The sequence below is a fragment of the Homo sapiens genome, chromosome 2, assembly GCF_000001405.40.
Source record: "Homo sapiens chromosome 2, GRCh38.p14 Primary Assembly".
Lineage (NCBI taxonomy): Eukaryota > Metazoa > Chordata > Mammalia > Primates > Hominidae > Homo > Homo sapiens.
Window position 1 is genome coordinate 231,001,403 of NC_000002.12, and position 22,301 is coordinate 231,023,703.

The 22,301-nt window shown below is 48.5% G+C and overlaps 1 protein-coding gene across 14 annotated transcripts in view; it reads left to right on the forward strand.

The window, feature by feature from the left end:
- The window catches only part of SPATA3 (spermatogenesis associated 3), a 23,989-nt gene extending 5,282 nt beyond the window's left edge, over window positions 1–18,707 (forward strand). The window contains exons 3-6 of one of the 14 annotated variants that reach the window (XR_001738628.2): window positions 1,282–1,425; window positions 11,188–11,295; window positions 13,530–13,768; window positions 14,355–14,596. Coding sequence is in view for 5 of the 14 variants with exons in the window: in XM_047443398.1 (XP_047299354.1) it covers window positions 1,229–1,397 (169 nt within the window). In the remaining 9 variants the exon portion in view is untranslated. Of the gene's footprint in view, window positions 1–1,228; window positions 1,426–2,636; window positions 2,717–5,271; window positions 5,434–5,819; window positions 6,639–11,187; window positions 11,296–12,471; window positions 13,051–13,529; window positions 13,769–14,354; window positions 14,597–18,317; window positions 18,537–18,556 lie in introns of those variants that run through there. The other 13 variants (XR_001738627.3, XR_922856.3, XR_007069642.1 and 10 more) reach the window with 13 other exon arrangements.
- The last annotated feature ends 3,594 nt before the right edge of the window (window positions 18,708–22,301 follow it).

Here is a 22,301-nt window from a genome sequence, read left to right on the forward strand (position 1 = left end):
CCCATCCTTGTCCTGTTCCTCTTCCCAGCCTCTTCCCTACCCAATCCCCTCTCCTTTCTGGAGCTGAAAAACTCCATCTCTCCTACACATGGAGATAAGTAAATAGATACCGGGGCGTGTGGGGAGAACACGCTTGGAGCCAAAAATACTCCACCACCCAGTAAGCTCCGTCAAGGAAAGGTCTGCCTGCCACCGTTAGCCACACCCTGCCCACACGCTTAGTACTTCCATCCATCCATGGCCAAATCGTGCCATGGGTTCATATCGTTTTAAAACCAGCAAGTGTTATTGAGGGAAACTTACTATGCAGAGGACATGGGGCACTGTGAGGGAAACCAGAACAGGGAACTTTACCCCTAAAATTGTTGCAGTCGACATGGAGAGCTAAGACCCATGCATTTAGAAACCAAGATGCAAGATGCAAAGAGCCTTGTGTCCTCTAGGAGAGGCTCCAACAGGAACCTCTGAAAGGTTCCAACAGGAACAGGCTCCAACAGGAACCTCTGAAAGGTTCCTGTCAACAGCATGTGAGCCGAGTCCAGAAGGATCTTGAAGTCCTCTCTGGCTTAAGATGAAAAGCGGGAGCAATCTGGGTGCAGGAAAAGGCAAGCGTGAGGCTCAGAATCAGGAAAGTGAGCAGGGAGAGACAGGGTCCATATCTGGCCAGGGCAAGACATGTAGTTTTAATTCTGCTCCAATTTTAGCACTGGCATGCTTTTCTCAATGGAGTGTAATGTTGGCTCTTGGCTTTCAATCCACATTCACATTAAACAAGAATCCCTATTTTTGTAGGATTTTTATCAAAACGGGTATTGCATTTTTTGAATGCCCTCCTCACAATTATTGCCTTAGTCATGTTTTCCTTGCCTTTGTGTGGGTGTAATATATTATTTCCCAAGTTCCTTTCTCTCAATGGAGTGAAGTGATAGAACTTACCTCATAGGGTTGTTGTGAGGCTGGAAGAAGACACTGGGTGTGAGGTATTTAGCACAAGGCCTGGCTCACAGCAGACTTGACCACCTTCCTAACCTGGTCCCCTTCTGAGTGTTCAGGGCAGCTAGCATCCCAGGCCAGCTCACCCTCCGATCCTCAGGGGTCTTTCAGTAGGGACTTGTTGGAAGGATGGGAAGAATTAAATGCTCTCCTAAGAGGAGTTTGGAGAGGGGGAAGATGGGTATTCCTGCAATCCTGAGGGGGCCACATAATTTCCACTTTCTCCTGTTCGTAGAGAGGCACTGAAGCCCAGCTTCCCACCACCCCCACTTCTGCTTTGCTCTACAGAAAATCTTCAAGAAAACCCTCCAGTCATCGTAACGCGTGTCCTCCAAGCCCTCGGAACTGTGGCTGTGGCTCTGGGGGCTCTAGGAGCTGCCTACTACATCACTGAATCCTTGTGAACAAGCCCCTAGGCCCACAGTCTGGCAGGTATGTTGAGCGCTCTGTCCCTTCGAATGGAGGTGGTCTCTTCAGGTGGACCAAGCCCCGGCCTCTCAAGGGAAGCTTGCCAGTGGAGTGACTCCCTCCTGGCCTCAGGGTCAGCCGGCATGGCCCTCTAGGGAAGACCTGATGCTCTCAGATGACGCTAGACTCATTATTACAATCATCTAAACAGAGCCCCCACCTCCTCTGCCCCGGGATGGTGTCCCTGGTCATGGACCCTGGACAAGAGGAAATGGGAGGGATGGGGGCAAAGGTTTCTACCCATCTCGGACCTTTCTTGGAACTTTCTCCCTGCCTGGAAAGCTTGTCTCCTACCCAGTCCTACCAGTCCATCACCCATAAAGCCCCCTTCTTCCATGAAACCTTTCTCCATCTTCCCAACTTCAATGACGTCTTCCATCTTCTCAACCCCTGTCCTCTCCACCTGTGCCTCCTGTGTTGTGGATGATCCTGTCGTTTGCCTGTGGCCTGTCTCCCATCTGTCCTGCAAGACCCCTGAGGGCAAGGGGCATGGCTCATGCAGCCATCTTCCCTCATCCCTGGAAGCAGAGCCTGAGACTGGGGTTGAATGGACAGGTTTATTGAGGAGGTGCTCTCAGGGAGTGAGGGAGTGAGGGAGGCAAGAAGAGGCAAGGGAAGGAGCTGAGAGGCAGGAGGCCAGACCTCAGCTTGACCCTGTGGGAGCCCTGGAACAAGAATGATGACACAGAGTTAGTCTCAGCAGAGGGGAGAGACTTGCCCTCTGGTGCTCCTCCTTGTCAGTGCTTTGGCTCTGAGTGTTGGGTAGGGACTGCATGTCTTTGTGGAAAGAGCAGCTCCCTTTGGGCTGAGGGTGCTTCCCTAGAGGAGGGGCAGCTCTGAGCTATTAGCAGCACATTCACAACTCACAGGAGTTGGGCAGTGGATGCACCAGCCCAAAAAGGGGATAATCGTCTGTTTTCCTTGCCTTTGCAGTGGGCGTAATATATTATTTCCCAAGGTTCCTCTCTCCCAGTGGAGTGAAATGATAGAACCTACCTTGTAGGGTTATTGTGAGGCTTGAAGAAGACATTGGGTGTGAGGTGTGAAGGTCTGGGTGGGGTGCCAAGAACTGCCACGATGATCCCCTTGCCATGTCCACACTTAGCAAATGCTTAATAAGTGACAGTGGGGATGATAGCATGGGGATAATGAGAAACATTTCAACCCACTTCCAGACCTCCACCAGCCCCAGGAGTTGATAGGTGATGGCGCTGGGAGAAGATGTTCAGAATATCTCAAAAGCCAAGTCCAGAAGGTAAACTCCAGGGAGAGCTCACTATCCCCTCATGTGCTCTGTGATACCATGTCCCATGTCTGTGGCAGAGGACATAGTAGTTCCTTAGCTGCTATGCTATTTCCTGAGGCGTTTCCTGAGTGGCAAGAACCTCAGTTTCCTCATCTGTAAATAGGGAAAATGACAGTACCTTCCTCTTGAGCCTGTTGGGAGAGGTGAGATAAGGTGTTAGAGGACAGAGCTCACTGCTGGGGGGTCCCGTTGCTGTTGTCAACATGGAGGTGGTGGGAAGGATGCCAGCTTTGGAGTTAGAGCTGCCGGCTCCTTTCTTGACTCTGCTGCCTGATAGCTGGGTGTTAGAGACACGTTTCTTAATTTCTCTGACAGTGACATGTCTAGTGGGGACAATAATAACTACCTCCACAGGCAATGGTTTTGAGGATTGACTGAGGGGATGTGTGGAAGTGCTGAGCACAGGACCCAGTGTCAGGGATGGGTGGATGCTGGCCACTGGCAACATGACAAATGCACCCGAGTTAAAGCATTTTCTCTTCAAAATTCCTTGCAGCAGAACCTACTGGTTGTGAGCTGGAGTTCTGGAGGCAGGCAGGCTTGAGGTCAGAGGCCTCTTCAATACCCAGTATTTCTGAGGCCTGGGGCAGGTTCCCTAACTCCTGATGTCTCATTTTCTTTTCGTTAAATGGAGATAATCATAGCACAGATCTCATTGGATTGTTGGGGGCATTGAGTGGAAAAAATGCATGTAAAACACTTAGCACAGTTCCTGGCACAGGATAAGCACTCAACATAGCTACATCACCACTACTACCACCACTGTCAGCACCATCACCATTATCACCATCATCCTCATCACCATCACCATCCTCATCACCATCCTCACCATCATCACCACCATCATCACCATCACCATCATCACCATCATCATCACCACCACCACCATCACCATCATCACCACCACCATCATCACCATCACCATCCTCATCACCATCACCATCATCACCACCACCATCATCATCACCACCACCACCATCACCATCACCATCACCATCATCACCATCATCATCACCATCACCATCTTCACCATCACCATCATCACCACCATCATCACCATCACCATCACCACCACCATCACCACCATCATCATTACCATCATCACCATCACCATCATCATCACCATCACCACCACCATCACCACCATCATCATCACCATCATCACCATCACCATCATCACCATCACCACCACCACCATCATCACCACCATCACCACCACCATCATCACCACCACCACCAGTATCAGCATCATCACCACCACCACCACAATCACCACCATCACCACCACCACCACCACCACCATCATCACCACCACCACCATCACCACCATCATCACCACCACCACCATCACCACCACCACCATCATCACCACCATCATCACCACCACCATCATCACCATCATCATCACCATCATCATCCTCACCATCACCATCATCACCATCATCATCATCACCATCATCACCATCACCATCAACATCACCATCACCATCACCACCACCACCTACCTCTATCACCAGGCCCTGCACCTGGCAATTCTGCACATCCCTTCAATTAATCTTTACAACCATCACCCTTGGAGGTAGTTGTCATCAACACCATTATCATCATCATGATAATCATTACCATTTGTTAAATCAGTGTTCCCCTAATTTTACTGACTTTTGATACCTGTAAAATCACTTAATATTTTTCTTTAAATTTGCTTACTTTTTGGCTGGGAATAGTGGCTCAAACCTGTAATCCTAGACCTTTGGGAGGCCCAGGCAGGGGGATAACTTGAGCCTGGGAGTTTGAGACCAGCCTGGGTAACATACCAAGACCTTGTCTCTACAAAAAAAAAAAAAAAGAGAAAGAAGAAGAAAAAAAGATTAAAAAATTAGCCAGGCATGGTCGTACACACCTGTAATCCCAGCTATTTGGGAGGCTGAGGTGGAAGGATTGCATGAGCTCAGCAGTTGGAGGTTGCAATGAGCTATAATTGCACCACTGCACTCCAGCCTGGGTGACAGAACTCATGAGACCCTGTCTCAAGAAAAAAAAAAAAAAAAAAGGCCGGGTGTGGTGGCTCACGCCTGTAATCCCAGCAGTTTGGAAGGCCGAGGCAGGCAGATCACAAGGTCAGGAGATCAAGACCATCCTGGCCAACACGGTGAAACCCCGTCTCTACTAAAAATACAAAAAAAAATAGCCGGGCGTGGTGGCGGGCACCTGTAGTCCCAGCTACTCGGGAGGCTGAGGCAGGAGAATGGTGTGCACCCAAGAGGTGGAGGTTGCAGTGAGCCGAGATCGCACCATTGCACTCCAGCCTGGGCAACAACAGCGAAACTCTGTCTCAAAAAAAAAAAAGAAAGAAAGAAAAAGAAAAGAAAATTAGCTTACTTTTTAACTGGCCAGGGAAGAACTTTAGCCAATGAAAGCTGCCCGGGCACCTGTATGAGAGTCACTGTAGGGGAGGGCGATGGAGGTGCATCGTGGGGGTACATTAAGTCGTGCTGATCTTGTAGGCTCAGCTCTTAATCAACAGGCAGTTTGATGTCCTTCCCTGTCCAGAGAGTGAAGAACCATCTGACGACAGTGACATCTTTCCTTTTTGGGGAAAGATGCTTCTAGAATTTTCTTTCCTAAAGTTTGGTGAACCTCTCCCTTGGCATCTTCCTCAGCTGAAGGTGAGGCCCTAAAAGCAAAGGACTTCTTTCCCAGCCATTTTGGGCGTTGAATGTGGTCAAACCACTGCAGTGTAGCTTTTGGGGAGTGAGACTCCATCATAGCTGCAGGGGCCCCCGGGGAAGGCGCTGGCACCGATGAGCTGAGCAGGAGCCAAGCCTGGCCAGGCGCCTGGCAAAAGGCATTACAGCCTGAGGTGTGTGGCTGAAAGAAGGAGTGGGTGCAAGGAATGGAAGAAATTTGAATCCTAAATAATTTATTTCTCCACGGAAGGATCACAGCTGCTGAAGCCTCACCTGTGAGGCTGTGAAACTGGAAAGCCACCAGGATTCCAGGTCACACGGGGTATTGTCTAAGCTGATTGGCTCTGTCCTTGTTTTTCTTACAGATCCAGTTTCCATCAAAGGGACCTCTCTTGTCACCAAAATTTAAAAAAAGAAAAAAAAAACGAGTTCTGTTTCTTTAGCATGTTTTACTTAGAGACATAAAAGTTGGACTTGGCAAATGACTAGGAAGGGAGGTCTGGGGGCCCCAGTGACCTTTTGGGCCACAGGTCAAGCAGAACTGGTGCCTGTCATTCCTGTTCAGGGCCACAGACCCCCGGTGGAGCAGCTTTCTCTGCACACACTCACAGAACACAGTGTTTGCTTTAGATTTTCTCACTCTAAAGGAAGGGATTATAAAGCTTAACTCAATAGCTAACGTAGTTAGTCATCTGCACCTCTGTCCCAGGGTAATCCCAGTTACTGGGAATAGGAGGAATGTGCCGGTTCGCCTCCAGGCCTGCACCCCAGAGGACAGAGGCCCTGTGCCCAGGAACACTGTCTCTAGAAACAGCTTCTTTTAGGGTCACCTGTGATGGGGAGCAGCCTGCCATGCAGCCTTGTGTTTAGTGCTAGTGATGTGGCTACACCCAGCCAGTGCCTGGTGCGATTCTACCTCTAGCTCCTGAACAGGCGACTCGAAATCTTAGTTCAAGGTGATCCCAGCAAACACCAATAGGGGAGAGGAGTGTCAACGAGGGAAGGAGGCTGGGCCTGGTGGCTCATGCCTATAATTCCAAGACTTTGGGAGGCCAAGACAGGAGGATGGCTTAAGCCCAGGAGGTCAAGGCTGCAGTGAGCTATGATTGCACCGCTGCACTCCAGCCTGGACGACATAGCAAGACCCTGTCTCAAAAAATAAAAATAAAAAAAAGGAACCACCAAAGAAGGGAGGACAGCCAGTACTAGTGAGTCCTAATGCAGTGGCCATTGAGGGCAGCTGAAGCCTGATCCTGCTGGGGCGTCGTGGGATGGGAGAATGGAGAACACACACCACACAGCATAGTCATCCCACCTGACAGGGAGCTGAGGCATTTGTAACCTGTTGGTCTTGGAGAAAGGCTGCGAGGAGGGAGGTGGTTAATTCCTCCACACTTTTGTCCCCTTCTGGAGAGGAAGCCCCCAGGCAAAGAAGTGCAGATGCGAGGTTTAGGAGTCAGCCCGCATGCACTGGAACGGTGACAGCGGCATATGGTGTAGGGGTGGAGGGAGGACAATGCTGAATGCCTGTGAGGCATCCACAGACCCATGCCCAGGTGACCTCCTATGACTCTAAGAATTAGTTAGACCGGGACCCAGCAGGGCAGCCACTGGGAAGGCAGGGAGCTGGTTTACCCACAACAGCACTGGTGGGATTGGGCAGGATGGGCCAGGCTGGAGCCCATTCCCCACCCCTCAGTCCCAAGATTTCCTTTCTGAAACAGGTGTGGGAGTTGCGTGGGGTCGTGTTGTGGTCCTGTCCTGCAGGTCACAATGAAGGGACCTATAGACATGGTGGAAGGGACTGGGGACTCCATGGCTGCAGCTTCTGGACTGAAGACACTTCCTTTTTCTGGCATATTGAGGTCCCCCTTTGTTGTAAATGTTGGACAACCTAACCCAAACTAGGCTTCAGCAAAATGACAATGTATTAGCTCCTATAAAAGTCAGGAGAGAGTTCTGGTTCAGATGTGGCTTGCTCCAGGGGCACAGGCCATTTCCCTCTCTCTGTAGCAGAGTTAGTTCCATTCTAGCTACAGCAGCAACAGCTCCCAGCCTACAGAGATCAAGTCTAGCAGAGAGGGTGAGCCGGCCTGTCTCCCCACAGCAAACGGCATCACAGCTCTGACTAGGTCCTGTGTCCCTCCTGGTACCCATCACTGTGCCCAGGAAAATGCAGGGGGCTGATTGGCCAGGCTGGAGCTGCACAGCCTCCTTTGGAACATGAGGATAAAATCCACAGAAACAGTGAGCACTGAGCAGGGAAGAAAATGATTCTCCAACTGCAGTGTGGGTAACCTGTTACCAAAAGAGATGGGAATGGACGCTGGGCAGCTAAAAACAGCACATGCTCCCTCCAGTTGGCTGTGGGTCTGCATCCAGGACCTGTGCTCTCCCTCTGCTTCTCCCCGTTTTCCTCCACCACCACCACCTCACCAGAATGAATGCTCAAGTGGCCAGGAGAGAGAACTCCCAGCTGCCTCAAGCGGCAGACTTGCAGCAGATCCTGGCAGTTGGATCCCCCGGGCAGTGGTGAAAACTAGCCTTCCATCCCCGGGGAAATGTGTGGGGCGCTGCTGGTTGTCACAGTGACGGGGGGATGCTGTGGGCTGTTAGTAGTGAAGGCCAAGAATGCAATGCACAAGACAGACCACACAATAAAGAACCATCCCACCAAAACCCCAAGAGCATCCTCCCGGACAGTCACTGTCACCTGGGCTCATCTCTCCCACACTGGCCTTGCATTGTGGCTCACGTTGCCTGTCGTGGGCCATAGGGATCCCTCTTGAAGAGTGGAAACTGCACATGCTAAACGACCACATGCCGGAGTCCCTGTCTTCATCCTGCCGAGTGCAGTTCTGTTGACACATCCGCTACTCTGTGGTTAGGTCCTGGAGGCAGAGAGCAGGTTTTTTCTTCTCAAATCCTTCCCAGCACATTGCAGACTCATGAATGAGTAGACCTGTCACCCTCGGGAGCACTTTGGGATACATTAAGATTTGGCTTAGGCCATTGTATTCAGAGTGTGGTATAATGAGTGAGTGTGATATTCAGAGTGAGTATAAATGTGATCACTGGAGAGGACTATTTTAAGTACAGTCAATTTCAAGCAACAGCCCCTGATAGGGGCTTTCAAGAGGGAAGTTTAGAGCTGGAAAGAAGAGTGAGCAGGTATATTTCCTATCAATCACCATGCAATAACTAAGACTGCTGTGGCTGTGAGTTTGGGGACAGCCTGGCTGTAGCTGAGCCTGCAAGTTATAGGGGCCAAGGCCCTTTGTCCTCTAAAGGTTCACTGAAAACTCATATGAGGCAAATTGATTAATAGGAGAAAGGCATACACATTTATGTGTACACATGGGAGCCTTCAGAATGAAGACCCAGAGGTACAGAGGAAATTGTCTTCATGCTGAGTTTCAACAAAGATGGACAGCCTTGTAGAAATAGGACTGGACAAAAGGGTCGGATCTAATGCTAATAGACTATGTGGGGAACCCAGCAAGGCCTGTCTGTCTAGATTCTTCTTGGCCTCTCTGAGCAGCATTCCTTCCTCTGGGGCATGGGGCAAGATCTTCTCTGGAATGGGGGTCTTATGACTGACTGCAAACAAGGTAGGTCAGATCATTTTGTTATGACCAGTTCTTACACAAGGCTGGGGGAAAATTCAAGTAATACTTTTAGGTTTTCTGACTAGCTCTGGGGAGAATGGGTTCTTGTTTCTATGGCATCTTGGGAAAGGATTGAGTTTGTATGGCTAGCCTTGGGGGAGATGGGACTGAGAGATAGGAGGGCAGGAGAAGATCACAGAAAACTTTCCCTTCTGAGGCCTTCATTTTGAGGTATTATTGTCTAAGCTCCAGCGGAGTCTAGCATCTTCACCAGGCTGAGCTCAGACCCTGGCTCTGAACATTGTCTCAAGACCATCAACTGGCCTGGTGCAGTGGCTCACGCCTGTAATCCCAGCGTTTTGGGAGGCCAAGGCAGGCAGATGACTTGAGCCCAGGAATTGGAGACCAGTCTGGGCAGCATGGCGAAAACTCATATTTTGTATTTTTCTAAAAAAAAAAAAAAAAAAATACAAAAATTAGCACCTGTAGTCCCAGCTATTTGGGTGGCTGAGGTGGGAGGGTCACTTGAGCCTGGGAGGTCAAGGCTGCAGTAAGCTGAGATCGTGCCACTGCAATCCAGCCTGGGTGACAAAAGGAGACCCTGTCTCAAAAAAAAAAAAAAAAAGAAAAGAAAAAGAAAGCCATCAATCAATTGGTTATTATGTTATTATTATTTATTTATTTGAGGCAGTCTTGCTCTGTCGCCCAGGCTCAATCTTGGCTCACTGCAACCTCCACCTCCCGGGTTCAAGCAATTCTCCTGCCTCAGCCTCCCGAGTAGCTGGGATTACAAGCATACGCCACCACATCTGGCTAATTTTTGTATTTTTAGTAGAGACGGGGTTTCACCATTTTGGCCAGGCTGGTCTCGAACTTCTGACTTCAAGTGATCTGCCCACCTCAGCCTCCCAAAGTACTGGGAGCCTCCGCACCCGGTCCAGTTGGTTATTCTTGAGATAGGTTGGTCCCTGTATAGTGATCCATCGAAGTGCAGAAGAAAGTCCAGGAAGCCCCATCCTCCTGCAGCTGCCTGTCTGGTCTGTCCAGTCCACTGTGCCAGGGACACAGGACCAGATGAGAGGTCCTTGGCTTTTCAGATACAACCTGGTCTCCATCCTCCCCACCCCCACCCTTGAGGACAGCCACCCTCCCACTGGCCATGAAGCCTGGCACCCAGGCCATCCCGCAGTCACAGAGTAAGTAAATAACCAGGATCCAGGGAACCAAACTGCCAGGTAAAGGCAGCCATGAGACTCAGGGGACACCTGCCATGCAGCCTGTCCTGCCAAGGCCCCAGGCTCAGGGCCATGTTGGAGTCAATCAGGCCTGCAGCCACCAATGACCCATCAGAGGAAGGACAGCACTTCAGGCTGCTATTACAGGCTCTGGCTTCGCTGGGAAACTCAGGAAGCCTCTGCATCCCCAGGCAGCTCCCCCTCTGTATGTGCAAGCACAGCATATACTTATTACACCTCAGCCAGTCACAGGGGGTCGAAGCAGAGATTTGAACTGGAAAAGTGCCCTTGCCAATGTCCCAAGATGCATTCCGGTCCTAAGCCAGGAGGAACTGAGCTGCGAGCTAGCGAATGAGGAGGACAGAGGAGCTGGAGGTGCCTGTTTGTTGGGAGTCTGGAGGAAAGGAGGTGCCAATCACCAGCGGCAAGAAGGAAAGTGTCCAAGGCAGAGAGCCAGGTTGGTCCCAGCGGCAGGGCTGAGCGAGAGATCCAGGCTCAGACTCCTCCAGGAGGGGCCTCGAGGTTGAGAATTTAAAAAGAAGAGTTCTGTTCAGGTCTGCGGGTGTCTGATCTCATCTGAGGAGTGCATCAAGGAGATGAATGGAGAAGCCCACTTGTCTCCCATTGGGGTCAGGATGAAGGGTCTGGGCTGACCAGCTCCAGAAGAAGCTCACCTTTCGAGAATGAGTTCTCCTTTAAACCTTTCTCCTCCTCTGTTCTGCCCTTCTCCTGCCTGCCACTGCCAGCAGTCAAGAATGGACTGTGTATACCATATTCTGGAGAATCTGATTATACCCTGGACACTGGTGTGTGGATTGCAGTCTGCTGCAGGATGACATTAGAGTTTAGTTGTTTTTTTCTAATGGGGCTCCATTCTGTGTGTCTGGTAGGAGGTGCTTTTAATGTGCTGATAAACCAACCTCAGGAAGGTATTATGTACAGAAGATTCCCAAGGCTGCTGTTGCTGAAAGAGACTTGGGCTACTGCCAGGGAACTAGGTGAGTCCCCGTAGCTGAACAGAGCTGCCTAAGAGAAGTGGAATAGAGGATCATGTGGTGTCTGTTTTGTGCCTTTAGTGATCGGTGTTTCATATGTATTTGGGGATGTTGCTTTCTCTGTGGGAACAAGCAAAAGAATCGTTTTGTTCTGATGAAATTAACAATGAATTTGGTGAAAGAAACTTCCAACTCCCTTGCCCATCTCCCTTCATCCCATTCATTTGGCAAAACCACAACCCTGGGGCAAATCCAGTTCTCTGCCTCCTGCGCACTTGGACTTGTGCAGCTAAACTTTGGGAAGCTCAGCCGTGCAGGCCAGACTCGCTTGAAATTCATGACCATGGGCTCCAAGTGGGCCTTGATGCTGCCAGGGATCAAATCACATTTTATTCCCCAAGACGCTTCTCTTCTGTCCTCAGACTTACCCCTTCTCCTCCCTGCTTCACCAGACCTCCAAGACTCACCACCGAGTCTCCCCACCTACCAGCGCCCTCTTGAGTATCCATCCCCCTTCCCCCAAGGCAATGACTGATTTGATTGCTGTCACGACAGACGCATAGACACATGATTTTGCATGTTCTAGAAACTAACATAAATGGACTCAATCAGTTTGGACTTTTTTTACCTGGCTTCTTTTGCTCATCATAATATTTTAAACCTAAATCATATTTCTATACATATCAATAGTTTATTCCTCTTTATTTCTGAGAAGTATTTCATTGTGTGAATATGCCATAGCGTGTTTATCTACTCACCTGTTAATGGACATTCAGATTGGTTCCAGTTTTTAGATTTTTTTTTTTTTCTTTTGAGAAGGAGTTTCACTCCTGTTGCCCAGGCTGGAGTGCAATGGCACAACCTCGGCTCACCGCAATCTCCACCTCCCAGGTTCAAGCGATTCTCCTGCCTCAGCCTCCCAAGTAGCTGGGATTACGGGCATGTGCCACCATGCCTGGCTAATTTTGTATTTTCAGTAGAGACGGGGCTTCACCGTGTTGGTCAGTCTGGTCTTGGACTCCTGACCTCAGATGATCTGCCCACCTCAGTCTCGAAGGCATGTTTTTAATTGTACTGGCATTTTATCTTGGCTAATTTGCTGTCTATTTTATTAACTTTTTTGGTTAGTTAATATCAGACATAAAATAAAGGGTAATTTCTTTTTTTTTTTTTTTTGAGGGTCTCACTCTGTCACCCAGGTTGGAGTGCAGCAGGGGCATGATCAGCTCACTGAAGGATCATTTCTTGGTCTAGGCTATAGGCTGGCCTTAGAATCAACTCACCTGGTGTCCTATTGTCAGGGACATCTTAACCAGGGTGACTGCACCTCGAATAAAGGCCAGATAAAGCCAAACTTGCTGGGTTACATTCCTTGGGGGTTAGACACCCTTCATCACAAGATGTTTGTAGCTCAAAGAAGGGGTTAATGATGCTAACTAGAGACCCAGAACGTCTGAAAACGTCCTGATATTTAAAGAACAAAGCATCCTTCATTTGAGAATAAGTTTCACTTTAAAGGTAATAGTACTCTCATAAATTCTTGCTGAAATCAATAGTTACATAGGAAAATAACAATGCTAATAGCCTGTCACAAGCTGATCATAAGCCTTTGTTTATAAAGTCTACTATTCTTAGCCTTAACATCCCATGTAAGCAAGTGCTATGTTTCAGTTAGAGGAATTCCTCCTCTTGCTTTCTGAGGACACCCTATTCTGTAATAGAGTAGTTTCTAATAAACTGTTTTATCTTTGCTATGCACTGCGACTCACCCTCTTTCCCACATGAAATCCAAGAACTCGCTCTTGGGGTCTGGAGTAAGTCTCCTTTTTCCAGTAACACTGTGTGTGTTCCTGGCTTTGAGGGGCATCCTGGGGGACGGAAGCTGCCCATCTGGACCCCTCAGCTCTGCAATCCCAGGTGCAAGATTGGGACAGCAACCTGGTGGCATCGTGGGGCTCCTCTGGTACTCTGCTGGTCTCCATCCTTCCAAAAGGACACCCACCAAGAGGCTGACACAGGCCACAGTGGGAGCACTGGGAGGACTGTGTGTTTGTAGAGGGTGAGAATGGGGGAGAGGTGTTGGCCAAACACTTCCATCTTTCTCACAGTGACCTCTCAAGGTAGCCCCCTGGGGTAAGCCAAGGACCTTCAGTGGGCTCTTGTAATGGGGGTCAAAGCCTTTTGTAGGTCGGGTGTTAAGGTGCCCTTCCTTCTCAAGGCTCTCTCTGCCTCTTCAGAGCAAAGATGATCCAGGGATGGGCCAAAGGGAGCACCAGCAAACCCTACAGGGAGTCCCAACTTGGGAGAGAGGGGAGCACCAGGAAATCCTACAGGGAGTCCCAACTGAGGAGAGAGGGAGCACCAGCAAATCCTACAGGGAGTCCCAACTGAGGAGAGAGAGAGCACCAGCAAACCCTACAGAGTCCCAACTGAGGAGAGAGGGAGCACCAGCAAACCCTACAGAGTCCCAACTAAGGTGCGAAGGATGGAAAGAAAGGGAGTCCACCTGAGTGGCTGGGACTATCAGCGCCCGCCACCACACCCAGCTAACTATCGTTTTGGCTTTTTTTTTTTTTTTTTTTTTTGGTAGAAACAGGGTTTCACCATGTTGACCAGGCTGATCTCGAGCCACCTGCCTTGGCCTCCCAAAGTGCTGGGATTTCAGGTGTGAGCCACCATGGCCCGCCAGGACCTAGTCTTTGGAATGCCAACGCAGGGAATTAGGGGAGGTGTGGGTGGTGAGGCATAGACAGAAATGCCCCGTGTACCAAACAGCTGGGCTCCGTCCTCCTGCACTGGCCAGCGGCCTCCCTTGCAGGATTGACCCACAAGGTCGTATCCTAGAGGCAAGAGGAGGCAGCAAAGCCTGGAATAGAGGCTTGTGGAATTGGAATCAGGCCGCATGCTTAACTCATGCAAAGCAGCTCCCTGGAAACCTCCAGAGGAGAAGTGACTCAACACACACGTCCCAGACCCTCTGGGCCCCTAGGCACCCTCGGCCTGCAGCTGTGGGGGCAATGGAAAGTGCCTCCTTTCTCTTCTTCCCCTTGCATTATTCACAGGGAGCCACAAACACAGAAAGGCCTCATTCACAAGCTCCAAGGCCTGGCCCTCTACGGAAAGCTTTCTGAAAATGCAAATGTCTCAGAAGTGGATTCTTCTTTTCAAACACTTTAAAGTGGCATATTCCCACGGAGCTGTGAAGCAGACCAAGATTTCCCTGGGCAGGAGACTCCTTAAAAATAACATTTGCATTTCAAGGAAGCAGAACTTCCAGCTGTGAAGTCCGGCTTGAAAATAGAAGGTGGGAGCCTCACCTCTTTGGGCATGGGCAGGCGTGAAGCCCCCACTTTCCCTGTCTGTGCCCCATCCCCACCTTGGCCTTGCCTCCTCCATCCTTTCATTCAGTGCTAGCTTAGGAGTGCCCATAGTAGCCCTGGGTGACTGGGGACTCACAAGACAGAACTGTTGTTCACCAGAAGCTCAAATCTAATGAGCCAGACAAGCCTCTAAATGAGTCAATTCCACCCCCATTCCAGGGACCCTGGGCCTGCCTGTTCCCTTCCCCCATAGAACCAAGAGGTTCTGGGTTCAGCTCTCCTCAGAGGAGCAGATCTCCACTGCGGTGAAAAGCACGGGTCATTTCTGTCTATGCCCCACCACCCACACTTCCCCGAATTCTCTGCCTTGGCATTTCAAAGACTAGGTCCTGGCGGGGCATGGTGGCTTACACCCAAAATCCCAGCACTTTGGGAAGCCAAGGCAGGTGGATCGAGATCAGCCTGGTCAACATGGTGAAACCCTGTCTCTACAAAAAAAAAAAAAAAAAAGAAGAAGAAGGTTAGCTGGGTGTGGTGGCGGGCACCAATAGTCCCAGCTACTTGGGAGGCTGAGGCAGGAAAATCATGTGAACTTGGAAGGCGGAGGTTGCAGTGAGCCAATATCGTGCCACTGCCCTCCAGCTTGGGCAACAGATTGAGACTCTTATCTCAAAAGGAAAATAAAAAACAAAGGCTAGGTCCCTTCCCTGGCTTCTGACTCAAGCCTGCAGCCAGGCCTTCTAGGGGGCCCCTCCCACCCCTGGAGGCTTCCCCTGGAGGAGCGGGTGCCCTCTCCTCTCTCCTCTCAGGCATCAGATAGGATTCAAGCTGAGATAACCCAGGAAAACAACAGACTCCTTCTCTCCTCTCAATAGCTTTCCCATTCACCATCAAGACATCACTCAGTTAAAATGTACATTTCCCCACCCTGATGATACAGGATTTTATACTACATATTTGTTGTCTGCTTTTTTTCCCACTTCTCAAAGAAATCTTTCTATGTAATATCTCATTTTTAAACAGCTGCATGGCGTTGCATCATATGCCTGTTTCGTAATTGATCAAATGAGATTCTACAGAGCTTACCTTAGTGCCCATGGTACTGCTCAAAGAATCCTGGCTACGATATTAGTTAGACCCATTTACAGGGAGTGGGGAACCTAGCTCCATCTGGCTTAGACAATAGGGGAACTTAATGGTTTATGTAACTGTAAAGTCTAAAGATAACACAGGCTTTGGGGAGAGCTTAATCTGACATGCTCTTTTCTTTCCCACTGCCCCCCTTTGCCTTCCGTGGTATCAGCTTCCCTCCCCTTTGGTTGTAAGATGGCAGAGCCTGGCACAGAGCCAAAAGCACCCACGGGTACAATGGGACTTTGTCTACATCCGGAGAGAGTGCCCACAAGCCTGTGAATTTCCCAGCATTCTGAGCAAGAGTCCTATAATTCACTCTAATTGGACCAACTCAGTTGACATCCCCACCAATGACTGGGCCCCGGGGAACTGGGAATGTGTTGACTGGCTGAGGCCATGTGGGGGCCACCTAGGGGCCACCTGTGAGTCAGATTTGGATTAGCTTCCCTTGAAGTGAGTAGGCTGTGTGAGAGAAGGCAGAATATCCGAATGAAAATTACATTATTTTAGTAAAGAAGTGTGGGAAACCAAAATATGCCACCCAAAAATATTCCTTGGCATATTTTGGGATGGCTATTCAGAGGGGCTGCAGACACAGGATAGCTCTGGAAAGCTGTGTTTTTGTGGGGAGTTTTGAATCTGTAGTAGAAATCTACATTAGTGAAGTAAATTGTGGATGCAAACAGGCTTCCTCTGAGACCCCTTTATCTGCCTTATCCAGATCTCTCAGGAGAAGGAGATTAGAAGTTCTGACACTTTTAAAGGTCTGATAGAGAAACTTTTTTTTTTTCTTTTAGACAGGGTCTCACTCTGTCACCCAGGTTGGAGTGCAGTGGCACAATCTCAGCTCACTGCAACCTCCGCCTCCCAGGTTTAAGCCGTTCTCCTACCTCAGCCTCCTGAGTAGCTGGGATTACAGGAGCACACCACCCCGCCCAGCTAATTTTTATATTTTTAGTAGAGATGGGGTTTCAACATGTTGGTCAGGCTGGTCTCGAACTCCTGACCTCAGGTGATCCGCCCGCCTCAGCCTCCCAAAGTGCTGGGACAACAGGCATGAGCCACCGCACCCATCATGACGGAGAAATTTTACCACAAGCTGCCATCTGAACTCATATTGCAGGAAGAAAGACTGAAGTTTGTCAACACACTGGACATCTCTACTCTTTCTGCAGGCTGTTGCTTGTGAGCCTTCATCTGCATAATAAGAAAACCTTAGCTCACCATGCATCTCCTCCCCTCTCCTTCCCATAACCTATTGCCACCTCCCCCGAGATGCTCCAAGTCTCTCTTCCTTTCCATATGGTATAGAAACTTCAGCCATTTGGCCCTCTTTTAGTCTCATAGTTTGTGTGGTCCCTATGCACATGTTCTTGTTAATACATTTGTGTGCCTTTTCTCTTATTTATCTATTGCCCATTTATTTCAGCAGACTTAAAGACTCAAACCTTCAGCAGGGGAGGGAGAGATATTCTACACCCCAGAATCAAGGAATGCTGAGAAGGCCATCAACACATGTCTGTTTTCAGTATTGGTTTTTCTTTTTTTTTTTGAGGTGGAGTCATCTTGCTCTGTCACCCAGGCTGGAGTGCAGTGGCATAATCTCAGCTCACTGCAACCTCCACTTCCCAGGTTCAAGCATTCTCCTGCCTCAGCCTCCCAAGTAGCTGGGATTACAGGCACGTGCCACCACACCCAGCTAATTTTTTGTATTTTTAGTAGAGATGGAGTTTCACCATGTTGGCCGGGCTGGTCTTGAATTCCTGACCTCAGGTGATCCACCCGCCTCAGCCACCGTGCCTGGCCTGATTTTTCTTTTTCTTTTTTTTTTTTTTTGAGATGGAGTCTCACTCTGTTGCCCAGGCTGGAGCGCAGTGGCACGATCTCGGCTCACTGCAAGCTCCGCCTCCCAGGTTCACACCATTCTCCTGCCTCAGCCCCCTGAGTAGCTGCGACTACAGGCGCCCGCCACAACGCTTGGCTAATTTTTTTTTGTATTTTTAGTAGAGACGGGGTTTCACCATGTTAGCCAGGATGGTCTCGATCTCCCGACCTTGTGATCCGCCCACCTTGGCCTCCCAAAGTGCCGGGATTACAGGAGTGAGCCACCGTGCCAGGCCTCGATTTTTCTTTTTTTAACTATTCTCCTACTAACAGATACTTAAGTTTATTCAATCTCACTTTTTTTTTTTTGAGACAGAGTCTTGCACTGTTGCCCAGGCTGGAGTGCAGTGGTGCGATCTCAGCTCACTGCAAGCTCCGCCTCCCGGGTTCACACCATTCTCCTGCCTCAGCCTCCCGAGTAGCTGGGACTACAGGCACCTGCCACCACGCCTGGCTAATTTTTTTGTATTTTTAGTAGAGATGGGGTTTCACCGTGTTAGCCGGGATGGTCTCGATCTCCTGACCTCGTGATTCACCCACCTCGGCCTCCCAGAGTGCTGGGATTACAGGCGTGAGCCACCGCGCCCGGCCCAATCTCACTTTTATAAGTAGTATTGCAATGAACATCCTTAAACACATATTTTTGCCAAGGATTCCTTCTCAGTGCCACTCTCCTCTGATTTCCAGACCCCCTCAATATCCTCCTCAGATTTGCCCTGCACTTCTTGTTCCATGCTTGGGGTCCTAAGAACAAGCCATCTGATGCCTCTACTATCATTACCTCTATTGGGACCCAGAAACCAATACCCCAAAATATGGTGCATGGACATGCTGAACTGAAGAAGATGCCTCAAGGCAAGTTCTCTCTGGCCTCCCCACTCGACTCCCCACCCCACTCTCTATCGTTTGTCTCTCTCAAAACACAGGATGAAGTTGTTCTCTGAAGTTCCTTTATCTACCTAAAGTGTGGACATACCAAAGGGGAAAAAAAAAAAAACAGTTACCTCTGGTCCCATCCTTGAGTTTTCATTAACTGAACTCATATCTCAGGAAGAAAGAATAAAGTCTGTCAACACACTAGATGGACTTTTTTTTCCCACAAACCATTGTATCTGCTCTGTGGGCCCAACAGACTTGGTCCCAGGCCACAGTATATTCTTCAAGCACATTGAATTCCCCTAAAAATCATTTGCTATCCCCCTAAAATCATCCACACTTCCCCATCTTCCTTTCCCCTAAAAAGAAGGTTATATAAGCATCTGCACCCCATTGGGTTAATGGATAATTATTCTCCTGCAATTCCCCTATGCTATGCATATTAAAATAAATTCATATGCCTTTTCTCCAATTAATCTGCCCTCTGTGAGTTGATTTTTCAGTGAACTTTCAGAGGGCAAAGGGGAAGTTTTTCCCCTGGCCCTTACTTTCCATAGCCTGAGTAAGGAAGACAGAAATGAGTTAGGAGGCCTTCTCTCTTTTTTTTTTTTTTGAATCGGAGTCTTGCTCTGTTGCCCAGGCTGGAGTGCAGTGGTGCAATCTCAACTCACTGCAACCTCCACCAGGAAGGCCTTCTAAAATTGGGAAATCCAAGGCTCAGTTCTCACTCCACAATGGCCAACTGTGGCAGTAGAGTACTCAACTAGGGCCAGAAATTCTGGTGAGATACCTTCCTTGGCCCACTTATGTGTCTTTAAACTAATTATTTGCTCTTTCCTTTAAAGCAGGCACAGCCTTCCAAGAGGTTGTCTTGGCATCAAATAAATTACTTTTCCTGTGTCCCACCAATGGGAAAATCATGGAAGTCTCCAGAAATATGACTGTAGTGAATGCTGTAGTGTGCTACCCAGATCAAGGCCCTCATTTCCCCAGATGCCAGAGTGCTGGCTGTTTGTAGTTATGCCTGTCTCTGGGCATTGCCCTTGGCTAAAGTAAGCTGCCTCACCCCAAGATCACACCGCTTCCCCAGAGGCAACATGAATCAATGACAGGACCATGTAGGGGTAAAAAGGCCTGGAAAAAGTCTTCTCAAAATTCATGTCTCATTTTGAGAAGACTCTGAAAGATCATCCCATGATGTTTTTTATGTGTTTCAGTTACCTACCGTCACATAACAAATCACGCCAAAATTTAGTGGCTTAAAACAAAATGATTTGTTATTTTTCATGATTCTATGGATTGATGGGGCTCAACTGGCTGGGTCTTCTGCTCTAAGCGGTAGAGATGAAGTTACTCATGCAAATGCATTCAGTTGGGAGTTTGGTGGGAACTACAGCACCCAAGATTAATTGCCTCTCATCCTCTAGAGTCTCTCTCTACATTGCCTTCATTGTTCAGTAGTCTAATATGGGCTGCTTTATGTGTCACAGCTGAATTCTGAAGAGTGTTTCAAGAGGACAAGCCCCACTGGGGGGCACTTATCAAATCTCTGCTTGCATCATTCTAGCTGATGTCCTGTTGGCCACACCCTGAGTTAACACAGAATTATATACCGGAAGGGATAGTTCACTGGGGCTACTAATGTAACAACCTACCATTGTCTGCCCTCTGACTCTTAATAATTCATATCTGCTTGCAAAATAGGGTCATCCCTAAAGGCAAAAACAGAACTTCCAAAGTATCTTTCTGTGACAACATTAGGTTCAGGCTTGAAGTCCCTGATTTCGCCATCAAAGTCAGATCCAGGGGGGACGATGCTATTCAGGTAAGGTTCCCCAAGTGTTGTTCCTAGGAGCAGAGACCTATGAACTAAAAAGACCAGTTATCTACTCCTCCAACACCTGAAAAATACTGTAGAGCCAGGAAAACTGCAATACTCTCATTCAAAAAGTTGAGGAGACAGGGAGGCACATAATAATCACCAGTCCATAGCTATTTTTAAGAAAAATATTTTTGTGTACTAATGTAATTGCATCACACAAATTTTGGACCTTTATTTTTACTTTTATTCAACTAAACATATTCCATAATGTCACTTGTGACCGTTTTTTAGACAGGGTCTTGCTCTGTTGCCCAGGCTGGAGTGCAGTGGCTCAATCACAGCTCACTGCAGCCTCAACCTCCTGGGCTCAAGTGATCTTCACGCCTTATACTCCAGAGTAGATGGAACGACAGGTGCACACCACCACAACTGGCTCATTTTTTTAAATTTTTTTGTAGAGACAAAGTCTCACTATGTTGCCCAGGCTGGTCTCGAACTACTGGGCTCAAGCAGTCTTCCCAACACAGCCTCCAAAAGTGCTGGGATTACAGGAGTGAACCACCGTGCCTAGCCTATTAAAAAAAAATTTTTTTGGAGACAGAGGCTTTCACTTATCACCCAGGCTGGAATGCAGTGGCCCGATCACAGCTCACTGCAGCCTGGACCTCCGAGCACAAGTGATTTCTGCACCTCAGCCTCCTGTGTAGCTGGAACTTCAGGCATACGCCACCACACCTGGCTAATTTTTTTTTTTTTTTAGTAGAGACAAAGTCTCACTATGTTGCCCGGGTGGTCCTAATCTCCTGGGCTCAAGAGAACTTCCTGCCTAGGCCTCCCAAAGTGCTGGGGTTACAGGCATGAGCCACCATGCCTGGCCTGAGCAGTGCACTTTTAAATAACCTGTGGGACAAATTAAAAAGTGGCAAGGCCTTTTTAAGTGTTCTGGAACTGTGATTTCAGCTACTCCGGAGGCTGAGTTAGGAGGATCACTTGAGCCTGGAAGGTCAATGCTGCAGTGAGCAGTGATACAGCCACTGCACCCCAGCCTGGGCAACAGAGTGAGACCTTGTCTCAAAAAAAAAAAAAAAAAAAGAAAAAAAGAAAAGAGAAAAGAAATATGTTGCTCAATTTCCACATATTCAGGAATTTCTAGATATCATATTGTTATTGATGATCAATTTAATACCTCTGTGATTGATTACTAATTTAATACCTCAGAAAATGTACTCTGTGTATTTTCAATCCTTTGAAATTTATTAAGGTTTGTTTATTAAGAGGACCCCGCATATGGTCTATCTTGGTGAATGTGCATATGATCTATACTGGTGAATGTTCTATGTTTTTTTACACAGTCTGTCAATCTCTGTCTCTTACATAAAAGTATTTAAGGCCGGGTGTGGTGGCTCATGCCTGTAATCCCAGCAGTTTGGGAGGCTGAGGTGGGCAGATCATGAGGTCAGGAGATCGAGACCATCCTGGCTAACACGGTGAAACCCCATCTCTAATAAAAATACAAAAAATTAGACGGGCGCAGTGGCGGGCACCTGTAGTCCCAGCTACTTGGGAGGCTGAGGCAGGATAATGGTGTGAACCCGGGAGGCGGAGCTTGCAGTGAGCTGAGATCGCGCCACTGCACTCCAACCTGGGTGACAGAGCAAGACTCCGTCTCAAAAAAAAAAAAAAAATTTTAGGTCATTGATATTAGATAACTATTACTGTATGGTCGGGTTTACCATCTTGGTTTGGTTTTCTATTTGTCTCATGTTTCTTTTTTCTTTGCTTGCCCTTCTTGCTCTTATTTTGGGTGAATTGGATATCATGTAGTATGCCATTGACTTCATTTATTAAATTTTAGCTCAGCCTCTTGGTGTTGCTTCTAGAGTTTTCTCTAGAAATTGAAACATGCATCTTTAACTTGTCCATGATACTAAACTCCAGCCTGCCCGTCAGCATATCCCCTCTGCCTCCCATGT